The 12,871-nt window shown below is 40.5% G+C and overlaps 1 protein-coding gene across 11 annotated transcripts in view, besides 1 other annotated feature; it reads left to right on the top strand.

The window, feature by feature from the left end:
* ATP10B (ATPase phospholipid transporting 10B (putative)) overlaps positions 1 to 12,871 on the top strand; it is a 366,241-nt gene that overhangs the window by 321,645 nt on the left and 31,725 nt on the right. For 9 of the 11 annotated variants that reach the window (XM_017009252.2, XM_011534468.3, XM_047416994.1 and 6 more), the window contains 4 exons: positions 630 to 951; positions 3,675 to 3,751; positions 5,014 to 5,139; positions 8,746 to 8,946. In XM_017009252.2, the coding sequence (XP_016864741.1) occupies positions 630 to 951; positions 3,675 to 3,751; positions 5,014 to 5,139; positions 8,746 to 8,946 (726 nt within the window). The remainder of the gene's footprint in view (positions 1 to 629; positions 952 to 3,674; positions 3,752 to 5,013; positions 5,140 to 8,745; positions 8,947 to 12,871) is intronic. The other 2 variants (XM_047416995.1, XM_047416996.1) reach the window with 1 other exon arrangement.
* Positions 477 to 1,676: an enhancer, noted in NCBI's record as "CDK7 strongly-dependent group 2 enhancer chr5:160033047-160034246 (GRCh37/hg19 assembly coordinates)". NCBI's record gives its function as "activates an origin of replication core promoter dependent on BRD2, BRD4, P300/CBP, MED14 and CDK7 cofactors, with strong dependence on CDK7, by STARR-seq in HCT116 cells {active_cell/tissue: HCT116}" and the evidence as "EXISTENCE:reporter gene assay evidence [ECO:0000049][PMID:35650434]".

Raw genomic sequence — 12,871 nt, 5'->3', positions numbered from 1 at the left:
CCGTAGTCCGTTCAAACCAATGTGATCAATGCTTCATGCCACAGTTCTTAGCACCCTTCATGGAATACAACAATTGATAAACACAGGTACAATGTATTTTTTTCAGTTAGGAAGCCACAGTTCAAGTAGTAATGATCCTGACTCCACTACTAAGTTTGGATGATCTTGGGTGAGTTATTAAAGATCTCATTTCAGTCTCCTCATCTCTAAGATCAGGAATACACACCCTATCTACCACGCAGGAATGTTCTGAGGAACAAAGGGGAACTTAAATGACCTGTGAGAAATAGAAAGCACCATACCAGCATGACGTATTGTCATTATCTACCATTATATTAGTATTATTTATTATCTTATGCCATCCTTGTGTCTATCTCCATCTTGCTGAGCTACTTTCACTCCCATTCACAAGCAGTGTCTTCTATTTTGGCTGTTAATTTGGTTCCAAATTAATATTCCTTTGATATTATGTCAAATATTGCAGAGAAATATAAAAATTGGAGAATAGCTTGTAAATAATCTCTATGGTAGTAGAGTTTTATGACTATCTTACTAAAGAATAAACTGAAATTGTTAACATGCATTTCCAAGGTTGCTTACAAATACTGTATTATTATGCTTCTTTATAGGAGACCTGTGAATCCATCCTCAATTGTGCATTGGAAGAGCTAAAGCAATTTCGTGAACTACAGAAGCCAGACCGCAAGCTCTTTGGATTCCGCTTACCTTCCAAGACACCATCCATCACCTCAGAAGCTGTGGTTCCAGAAGCTGGATTGGTCATCGATGGGAAGACATTGAATGCCATCTTCCAGGGAAAGCTAGAGAAGAAGTTTCTGGAATTGACCCAGTATTGTCGGTCCGTCCTGTGCTGCCGCTCCACGCCACTCCAGAAGAGTATGATAGTCAAGCTGGTGCGAGACAAGTTGCGCGTCATGACCCTTTCCATAGGTACCCATCATACTGAGATGCGGGTGGCACTTTGGCAGGGATGATCTGATGAAAGGCTGGACCAGAGGTGGGAGGTCAGGTCTCAAAGTCAGAATGCTTAGGCTGTGAGTCATTGTCTTAGAGGGAGAGAGTTCAAAATGACAATCAAGATGCAGCAACTAGGGGATGAAGTGGGACAGTGCATCAAAGTTCTTGGGACTAGCAAGTCAGCTAAAGATAAATCAGGGTTTAGATGGAGGTCAAAACCAACAGGGGCCTTGAATTCAGTGAATCCAGATAGCTCAAGAAATGTTGCCAGTAATTATATTCAGATCATCTTAATTCTGGGATACAGATCATTTTCCCTTTAGTACTTTATGCATGCCACAACTTCAGGTGTTTAGGGATTTGATATTCTGAGTGTTGATGGCTGGTGGGGAGATTTTAAAGATTGGTACTGTCTCATGTTTAATTTGTGTGTTTATTTCTAAATAGGAGGCCAGCACAAAGCATATCACCAATAGATGCTAGCATTGGTTGATAAAGAATTTTTCAGAGGGGGCTAAACTTTAATCATGTTGGGACAGAGAAATGAAAACTGCACTTACTTAACACCTTTCAGGAACAACCAAACCTGGTTTAAAAGAATCTTCGTGATCTTCTGTTACCCTCAGCCATATCTCTTATTGTGGCCACCTTTCTTTCTCCAACAGTTGCCTTTCCATGTTCCAACAAATGAAACTGTTTACCATTCTCCATGGGCCTTGTCCTCTCTCACTTCTGGGCCTTTGCACAAGTTATTTCCTCTGTAAAACACTTCTTCCAATCCTACCTAACTTTGCTTTCCCCTGGGGGCTCCCACAGCACCCAGTACGCATAGCTCAAAGCACTGTCATACCTTCTGTGATGGCCTCCTCAGTAGACCATGAGTTCCTCGAGTAGAAAGATGTCAGCCTTATTCACTTTTGGATCCCCTGCCCAGCACATACCAAGCATGTAGTAAATATTGCCTTCTCTTAGGGATGTTCTTACAGATGGTGCCAGCCTCTCCTCCTCCTACACAGGCATGGGATAAGATTTTCTTTCCTAACATTTCAAATAGAAACCCTATTAAACGTGATGGTTTTGTTCCTGGTTTTCAGGTAAGAACAGTAGAGAATAACAAGAGTGGGGCAGAAAGAAAGCAGAGAACAAATTTAGCAACGACATCCTACTTTTATGCCTGGAATTGTCCTCTTCAGAAATTCAGACACACACAAGGCAATAGCCCAAGAATGATTTTCTCTGAGGTCAGATATTGGCTTCACTCCCATAGCAACAGAAACAAAACCAGTGTGGCGAGAAATAGCATGGTTTCACACCTCTACTTCTCCTGGCTCACTAACAGAAGAGATTAAAGGTTGGATTTGTTTTGCATGGGGAAGATGAAAATTATGCATTGCTATGCAATCAAGAAATATTTTAGAATAAAGGCTACTTATGGCAAAACTTTTAAGACCAATAAATGTGTCATCAGATAACTAGAAGAATCATTCTCTCCCTCCCATTTTATATTCTATATCATAATAATATAAATTTAATTGTGGCTTATTCTGAGAAACTGCTAGAAAACATGTAGGGCCAGGAAAAGAATGAAGGCAGCATAGTCTACAAGAACAAGGGTTGGCAAACTATGGCCTGCAGGCTGAATCCAACCCATGGCATGTTTTTGTATGGATACTAAGAATTATTTTTCTATTTTTCAATGTAAAATTTATAAAGGATTAATAGTCTTTCAGCAAGAATAACTGTTCAATTTTGCTTCTTGGCTCACAAAGCCTAAAATATTTACCACCTGACCCTTTACAGAAAAAGCACTGGGGAGAGTTTGGCTTCTGGGGAAGGCCTCACTGTATAGAGCTATCTGTGGCTACTTAAATTTAAATCGAATTTCACCAGCAAAATTTCCATAGACACATGTGGCTCCTGGTTTCTATATTGGACAGTGCAGATATAGAACGTTTCCCTCATCATGGAAAGATCTTGAACAGTCTTGGTATAGAAGGAGACCGTGTGTGTGTGTTTATGTGTGTGTGTGTGTCTATGCCTTACCTCCAGTTTCCTGAAACAACTCAGTTCATTGAATGGAAACTCAGTGTGACTAAATATATTTCAAAAACATGAATCAATCTCATTTCTCTACACTGAGAAACAAAACAATATCATCCCTCTCCTTGGAAACCATTGACAATTTCTGATGATTTCACTCTCCAAACTGTCCAGTTGTCTTGATATGGTATTTCAAGTTTGACCGAGGGAAGTGTGTTGGCCCTGGAATCTGAAAGATATGAGTTCCATTTCTCCTGGGTCCTTTCTCTAGTGGAATTACCCTTGCCAAGTCTCTAAGTTGCTCAAATTCTCCATTTGCTCATCAGTAAAGTTCATTGTAACATTTGTGAAGGCATTTTTTTGAAAACTGCCCAAGTCTCTTGATTACCATTATATCCCCAATACCTAACACTGTGCCTAGAAAAAAAGACACTTGGTAAGTCCTATATTTGCTGAATGGTAAAGAAAATGGTAGGACTTATTTTCCAAAGAAGAAATGACATCTCTCAAGCTAAGCACTATAGCAATGACTTTCTATAGCACTAGAGTAATGTTAAAAGGATTCAATTGTATGTAACTGGGGACACTTTAGAGCTACCTCATTGTCACTGAGCAGTTGGACCAAAAATAAAGACACGTTATGACCTCTCTTTCAGGTGATGGAGCAAATGATGTAAGCATGATTCAAGCTGCTGATATTGGAATTGGAATATCTGGACAGGAAGGCATGCAGGTATTGTTCTCTGCAACTATTCTTCTTTCTTTGGTCCTTAGTTGAGATACAAGGAAATATCCAGAGTGTTGGAGAAACTTCTCCCTGAGAACTTCCACCCACATCCAAAGTTGCAATGCCCTCCATAAGCAATGACAGACATAAGGACATTTGAAATCATTTTGCAAATGTACACTTTCGTAGTGTCAAAATTCAGCTTGGAAGAAGCAAACTAACTTGACTGCTAAATTTTCCCATTTAAACAGACATTTTGTGGGTTTTGAGCCATTAACAATTGTATTTCCACCACCAGTGTAAACATTTGGCACTGCTTAAATTTGTTGATGAGGATAGAGAGCATTGACTGGGAAGCTGCAGAATAGTTCTGAAATGTTAACTTTTGCGTATCTCCTATATGCCAGCAATCTGTTAGACCAGGGGTATCCAATCTTCTGGCTTCCCTGGGCCACAATGGAAGAAGAATTGTATTGGGCTACACATAGAACACACTAACTATAGCTGATGAGCTTTAAAAAAATTGCAAAAAAAGTCTCATAATTTTGGGCCACATTCAAAGCCATCCTGGGCCACATGCGACCTGCAGGTTGGACAAGCTTGTGTTAGACACTTCACATTTAGGATCTCATTGAATTTTAATAATCATCACACCCTGTAAGGGATTGCTATTCCATTTTTTAGATGGGGAAACTGAGGCACAGGGAATTAGACCAAAGTTTATACCAGGACTTATAAACAGGCATGTTCAGTGTTCATGTTTTTAAAAGAGTACTATAAACTGTGCCTTGTTCTGAGTAATCCCAGGGGCAGAAGACATATTTCAGCTCCAGGTAAAGGAAGAGCTGTCACTTAGCTCCATCTGTGAATGGAGCCAATGGCCTGACTCAGGGGGTGGTGAAAGGTGTTCAGAGGATTGTAAATTGCTTGAATGGAAGCCCCTTCTCTCTGGTTAACCATCACATCCCTAGCACGGTGCCTGACACTTACTGGGCCACAGTCAATGCTTGCTGGATAAACGGATGAAGAGCCAGCCTAGACCACTGATCCCTTCTGATCTGCCCTCCTTGGATTCTAGAGAGGTTTGGATTTCCCAGAAGGGAGGGTGGGGTGTCAGAATCCAAAAAGCTACCCAAGAGTGACCACAACAAGGGGTCTTTAGGACTCTGCTGGCCGTAGGCCTAGACCAAAGCAACGCCCTTGAGAGAGTCCCTCTGGGGCACTGGCAGCCATGGATGGAAGCTGATGTGTCTGTTCTCACCTCTCAGGCTGTCATGTCCAGCGACTTTGCCATCACCCGCTTTAAGCATCTCAAGAAGTTGCTGCTCGTGCATGGCCACTGGTGTTACTCGCGCCTGGCCAGGATGGTGGTGTACTACCTCTACAAGAACGTGGTAAGTAGCCTATGGCGTCCTCTCACCCAGGGCTTTGGCAGGCCTTGCCACGGGGCCAGATCTCTCCCTAGCAGTGGGCAAAGCACCTCAGCATAAAGGAAGGAGTCAGGCTGGCATAGTGTTAGATCTTGAAACTGTTCCTTAATAGCTCTGTGACCTTGAGCTAGACTCTTCACTTTCTATTTTTGTGAAGTTATTGTGAGAATTGGCAATGCTGTATGAAAAGCACCTGGCACACAGAGGGCAGCATGAATAGCTGCAAGTGTAGACTCTGGAGTCAGACACGTTGGGTTTAAATCCAGATTCCCATATGTGATAATGTCCCCAAATCTCAGTTTTACCATCTGTAAAATGGGTGGTAATAGTACCTTTCTCATATTTGCTATGAGGACTAAATGAGAATTTGTATATAAAGTGATTAGCGTATCGTAATCGTTTATAAAGTTAGCCTTTTTTTTATTATTGTTGCTGTCATTACTCTTGGAGTTAAGTCTCATAAATGAGATTTTCTTATTGTAACAAAGAAGGATTTGAAGAGCTAGTCTGAACTGTATCAGATTTCCTCTGTATATAGAGCCAGCTCAGTGCAAGAGCTATACCCCATGCCTTGGGAGAGTGAGGGTGAAAAGTACGTCACAGAATATAAGCCTGGAGCCCATGGCTTCAACTTGGGACTTGCATATCACTTCAGTGCCCCTGGGCTTTCTTTCAGGGATTTGCTGGAGGGCAGGATACTAAATAAAATATCTACTTGGCAAAGATGTTTGAGGTGCAGAGTTTGTCTGGGTAGTCTTACCTGACTCCAGCATGCTGTATGACCTTGAAGAAACTGAAGCTCACAGAGATTAATTAATCTTTTCATCAATAATATGGGGAAACTATAATTCTGTGTCAAGAGGCCTTAGTGTCAGAGCTCTGAAAAACATATAGCCCTATAAAAATACAAACAATAAGTTGTGTATTCTAAAACTATGTTGGTTTGTCTTGTTGATGAGGGCCTAAAGCAAACACATACCAACTGAGGTATTAAAACGGTCAGAAGACTCTTCTTTGAAAAGCCCTTTATTAACAATGGGAATAGGAAGAAGTCAGAACCGTGCTAGGCTAATGGAGGGAACAAAAGAGTTTTTCATTATCTAGTTCAAAGGCTTTTAATAAACCCCAAGATTTCCAAACAATTTGACTCCTCTTTGCATAAGTAAAAGGGGAGGATTAAGACCAAGGTGATGGAAGAGAAACATTAGCCAGGTAGTAGCTACAAAATTGCAATTTTTCCTCTTGCTCCAGTCTTTCTTTCAGACTCTGACACAGTCACCTTTGCTCAGGAATGACTTTCTGTGCAAAGTTCAATGTATATGTAGATAAACAGCATGACAAAAAGTAATGTAAATTCAATCAACTTGATGGTAATATTATCTCAGCAAGTCTACGCAAACAAGTCACTCCATCTGACTTGAAACTCACTTTGAGAGTGAAAGACTGTTTATTTAGAATCCAAAATGCTCCTGTTTAATTTTTTTGGCAGCTCAAGGAATAATTCTTTTGAATAAGCACAGCCTCTTCTCTGCATTAAATTTGTGAAATAGGAAAGAAAACGTTTCCAAGCAGCCACGCTTTCAAAGCTTAAATGATATTTATTTCCAGCCCAATGCCATGCTCAAAATTGCGATACTAATGCCGCATTATCTCCCTGTTGCAATTAGAAGGTGGAGAACTATGACTTCCACATATGAAACCAATTTCAGAGGGGATTAAAACCTGGCCTGCTCTGAAATTTGAACAATGAATTAATTACCGCACTGTAGCTTCTTGAGAGAAAGAGCAGGCATCCAATATCAGCAATGCTGCCATGGGGTTCAATGCACTCCCTGCAAGGTACAAAGATTCCAGTTAGGCAGAAGTGAAAAACAAGCAAGATCTTACCAGGGCCTCAGGAGGCAAGAAGCACTCTGTAACGCTGAAACTCCAGGATGGGTGTTAGCATAGAGCTAAGATTAACTACATTGATTCAAATAACAATTGAATGTCTGCTGTATGTCGGGAACAGGGCTGAGCAATGGGTATAGAGCAGGAATCAAGCCAATCATGGCCTGCGTGAGGCTGTCTACATCAGGTCTCAGGAAGCTTTTTCTTCAAAGAGCTAGATAATAAATATTTCAGCTTTGCAGGCTGTATGTGTCTAGAAAAGTCTAATCGTATAAGCCAAAGATAGGACTGAGAAAGTTTAGAGGTAGTTAAAAAGAGAAAGAACTTTGAAAATTCAGATGCTGATTGTACCACTCTCTAGCTCTGAATTTGGGCAGGGGGCAACAGTATGTCAGAACCTTGGATTCTTCATCTGTAGAGTGGGCCTAATAATGTTAATATTATTGTTAATATCAACATGTGATATATCAGTACAATAACGTAGTACTACTATAGCAATATTAACCTTGCAAGGTTGTTAGGACAATCTATAGTGTGTATTGCACATCCAATGATGTACTATATGCTGATATACTGATGTATATCTCACTCCTGGCACATATAGAAGGTCAAATTTTACAAATGATGTTACTACTAGTGGCAATATGTTAAAATAGAGAGCCCCTCCAAAATAACATTGACCCAGCAGTTCAGAAATAGGAGTTACAGCTTGAACACAAACCTGCTGAATGATTTCTTGCAAGACCCTTCACATCTCTGTGCCTCAGCCCCACATAACTGAGAAGTTCTAGTTCTAACTCCAGGACCAGCTGCTTATATGTATGACCTTGGTCAAATCACCAAACCATATCGCAATATGGTAGACAATAACAGTGACCCAGCCCACCCACAAGAGAGGAGATCTTGAGTGAGAAAGAGCTTTAGAAAAAAATGAACAACATTTAGGCAGATTTTGTCATTCACCCTTCTGAGCTGCATGACCATTAGGAAAGTACAGTGAAGTCAACCTTCTCACGAGGTCACCGTCCTACCAGGTGTCCTGCTCATGGTTCAGTCTTTCTATTACCCCTTTGTCAGTGACATCCCTTTCTATTACCACTCCACTGCCATTCATATTTCGCATGCCATTGGTCTAAGTACTACTATTCCCAGCTGACAGATGATAAAATGCTATTCAGAAAGATTAAGTAGTTTGTCCAAGGTCACACAGCTAGTAAGTGACAGAATTGGGGATTCAAAACCAGGCCTCTCTGCCTCCAAAATCTGTACTTTTAACCATCATAGTACACCAAGTCCTCAATTAATGTCCTCAATAGGTTCCTAGAAAATGTGATGTTGAATTAAGCAATGTTATTCCGGGGCTTGCCATACATCATTTTGCTTTAAGTTGCAGTTTCTAAGAACCTATTGGCAATGTTAAGTGAAGACTTACTGTCCACTCCCCTTTAAACAAGTTAGTGGAATTCCCTTCAGGTCCTGAAGAATGTTAGTAGCAATAGTAGTAGTAGTAACAGTGGTAGCTACTGCTCCGAGGATTAGAATTCTCTCTCATCCTTACATAACCCTGTGTGTTATAAATGAGGCAACTGCCACTCCAGCAGCTCCCAGAGGTCCCAAGCAGGAGCTGGTGACCGGCTGCACATGGAGCCCCACTCACAAGGCCATGCTCTCTGCCTGCAGTGCTACGTCAACCTGCTCTTCTGGTATCAGTTCTTCTGTGGTTTCTCCAGCTCCACCATGATTGATTACTGGCAGATGATATTCTTCAATCTCTTCTTTACCTCCTTGCCTCCTCTTGTCTTTGGAGTCCTTGACAAAGACATCTCTGCAGAAACACTCCTGGCATTGCCTGAGCTATACAAGAGTGGCCAGAACTCTGAGGTAAGGAGATCGGGCAGCCAAAGGGAGGTGACTTCAGCTTCTTACTGACCTCTACCTCCCCTCTGGAGGCATCAGAGAAAGAGCTGTATGCTGGGGTCAGAAGCCTGCATTCTGACCACTGTTCCATCATTTACTTTGAGTAACTCCTCTCTCCTTTCCTGACCCGTTTCTTACTTGCTATTGAGGGTGTTGGGCCAGACTAGTGGGTATTTTTAATTTTTTTTTTATTGTTATTATACTTTAAGTTTTAGGGTACATGTACACAATGTACAGGTTAATTTCATATGTATACATGTGCCATGCTGGTGTGCTGCACCCATTAACTCGTCATTTAGCATTAGGTATATCTCCTAATGCTATCCCTCCCTGCTCCCCCCACCCCACAACAGTCCCCAGAGTGTGATGTTCCCCTTCCTGTGTCCATGTGTTCTCATTGTTCAATTCCCACCTATGAGTGAGAACATGTGGTATTTGGTTTTTTGTCCTTGCAATAGTTTACTGAGAATGATGATTTCCAATTTCATCCATGTCCCTACAAAAGACATGAACTCATCATTTTTTATGGCTGCATAGTATTCCATGGTGTATATGTGCCACATTTTCTTAATCCAGTCTATCATTGTTGGACATTTGGGTTGGTTCCAAGTCTTTGCTATTGTGAGTAGTGCCGCAACAACATATGTGTGCATGTGTCTTTATAGCAGCATGATTTATAGTCTTTTGGGTATATACCCAGGATGGCTGGGTCAAATGGTATTTCTAGTTCTATATCCCTGAGGAATCCCCACACTGACTTCCACAATGGTTGAACTAGTTTACAGTCCCACCAACAGTGTAAAAGTGTTCCTATTTCTCCACATCCTCTCCAGCATCTGTTGTTTCCTGACTTTTTAATGATTGCCATTCTAACTGGTGTGAGATGGTATCTCATTGTGGTTTTGATTTGCATTTCTCTGATAGCCAGTCATGGTGAGCATTTTTTCATGTTTTTTGGCTGCGTAAATGTCTTCTTTTGAGAAGTATCTGTTCATGTCCTTTGCCCACTTTTTGATGGGGTTGTTTATTTTTTTCTTGTAAATTTGTTTGAGTTCATTGTAGATTCTGAATATTAGCCCTTTGTCAGATGAGTAGGTTGCAAAAATTTTCTCCCATTTTGTAGGTTGCCTGTTCACTCTGATGGTAGTTTCTTTTGCTGTGCAGAAGCTCTTTAGTTTAATTAGATCCCATTTGTCAATTTTGGCTTTTGTTGCCATTGCTTTTGGTGTTTTAGACATGAAGTCCTTGTGCATGACTATGTCCTGAATGGTAATGCCTAGGTTTTCTTCTAGGGTTTTTATGGTTTTAGGTCTAACGTTTAAGTCTTTAATCCATCTTGAATTAATTTTTGTATAAGGTGTAAGGAAGGGATCCAGTTTCAGCTTTCTACATATGGCTAGCCAGTTTTCCCAGCACCATTTATTAAAAAGGGAATCCTTTCCCCATTGCTAGTTTTTGTCAGGTTTGTCAAAGATCAGATAGTTGTAGATATGCAGCATTATTTCTGAGGGCTTTGTTCTGTTCCATTGATCTATATCTCTGTTTTGGTACCAGTACCATGCTGTTTTGGTTACTGTAGCCTTGTAGTATAGTTTGAGGTCAGGTAGTGTGGTGCCTCCAGCTTTGTTCTTTTGGCTTAGGATTGACTTGGCAATGCGGGCTCTTTTTTGGCTCCATATGAACTTGAAAGTAGTTTTTTTCCAATTCTGTGAAGAAAGTCATTGGTAGCTTGATGGGGATGGCATTGAATCTATAAATTACCTTGGGCAGTATGGCCATTTTCACAATATTGATTCTTCCTACCCATGAGCATGGAATGTTCTTCCACTTCTTTGTATCCTCTTTTATTTCATTGAGCAGTGGTTTGTAGTTCTCTTTGAAGAGGTCCTTCACGTCCCTTGTAAGTTGGATTCCTAGGTATTTTATTCTCTTTGAAGCAATTGTGAGTGGGAGTTCATTCACGATTTGGCTCTCTGTTTGTCTGTTATTGGTGTATAGGAATGCTTGTGATTTTCGCACATTGATTTTGTATCCTGAGACTTTGCTGAAGTTGCTTATCAGCTTAAGGAGATTTTGGGCTGAGACAATGGGGTTTTCTAGATATACAATCATGTCATCTGCAAACAGGGACAATTTGACTTCCTCTTTTCCTAATTGAATACCCTTTATTTCCTTCTCCTGCCTAATTTCCCTGGCCAGAACTTCCAACACTATGTTGAATAGGAGTGGTGAGAGAGGGCATCCCTGTCTTGTGCCAGTTTTCAAAGGGAATGCTTCCAGTTTTTGCCCATTCAGTATGATATTGGCTGTGGGTTTGTCGTAGATAGCTCTTATTATTTTGAAATACGTCCCATCAATACCTAATTTATTGAGAGTTTTTAGCATGAAGCATTGTTGAATTTCGTCAAAGGCCTTTTCTGCATCTATTGGGATAATCACGTGGTTTTTGTCTTTGGTTCTGTTTATATGCTGGATTACATTTATTGATATGAGTATATTGAACCAGCCTTGCATCCCAGGGATGAGGCCAACTTGATCATGGTGGATAAGTTTTTTGATGTGCTGCTGGGTTTGGTTTGCCAGTATTTTATTGAGGATTTTTGCATCAATGTTCATCAAGGATATTGGTCTAAAATTCTCTTTTTTGGTTGTGTCTCTGCCCGGCTTTGGTATCAGGATGATGCTGGCCTCATAAAATGAGTTAGGGAGGATTCCCTCTTTTTCTATTGATTGGAATAGTTTCAGAAGGAATGGTACCACTTCCTTCTTGTACCTCTGGTAGAATTCGGCTGTGAATCCATCTGGTCCTGGACTCTTTTTGGTTGGTAAGCTATTGATTATTGCCACAATTTCAGAGCCTGTTATTGGTCTATTCAGAGATTCAACTTCTTCCTGGTTTAGTATTGGGAGGGTGTATGTGTCGAGGAATTTATCCATTTCTTCTAGATTTTCTAGTGTATTTGCATAGAGGTGTTTGTAGTATTTTCTGATGGTAGTTTGTATTTCTGTGGGATCGGTGGTGATATCCCCTTTATCATTTTTTATTGCATCTATTTGATTCTTCTCTCTTTTTTTCTTTATTAATCTTGCTAGCAGTCTCTCAATTTTGTTGATCTTTTCAAAAAACCAGCTCCTGGATTCATTGATTTTTTGAAGGGTTTTTTGTGTCTCTCTTTCCTTCAGTTCTGCTCTGATCTTAGTTATTTCTTGCCTTCTGCTAGCTTTTGAATGTGTTTGCTCTTGCTTCTCTAGTTCTTTTAATTGTGATGTTAGGGTGTCAATTTTAGATCTTTCCTGCTTTCTCTTGTGGGCATTTAGTGCTATAAATTTCCCTCTACACACTGCTTTAAATGTGTCCCAGAGATTCTGGTATGTTGTGTCTTTGTTCTCATTGGTTTCAAAGAACATCTTTATTTCTGCCTTCATTTCGTTATGTACCCAGTAGTCATTCAGGAGCAGGTTGTTCAGTTTCCATGTAGTTGAGTGGTTTTGAGTGAGATTCTTAATCCTGAGTTCTAGTTTGATTGCACTGTGCTCTGAGAGACAGTTTGCTATAATTTCTGTTCTTTTACATTTGCTGAGGAGTGCTTTACTTCCAACTATGTGGTCAGTTTTGGAATAAGTGTGATGTGGTGCTGAGAAGAATGTATATTCTTGATTTGGAGTGGAGAGACCTGTAGATGTCTATTAGGTCTGCTTGGTGCAGAGCTGAGTTCAATTCCTGGATATCCTTGTTAACTTTCTGTCTCATTGATCTGTCTAATGTTGACAGTAGGGTGTTAAAGTCTCCCACTATTATTGTGCGGGAGTCTAAGTCTCTTTGTAGGTCACTCAGGACTTGCTTTATGAATCTGGGTGCTCCTGTATTGGGTGCATATATATTTAGGAT

This window comes from Homo sapiens, chromosome 5, assembly GCF_000001405.40.
Source record: "Homo sapiens chromosome 5, GRCh38.p14 Primary Assembly".
Classification (NCBI taxonomy): Eukaryota; Metazoa; Chordata; class Mammalia; order Primates; family Hominidae; genus Homo; species Homo sapiens.
Note: the sequence above shows the minus strand (reverse complement) of the source record. Positions and strands in the feature narration are given on the sequence as shown.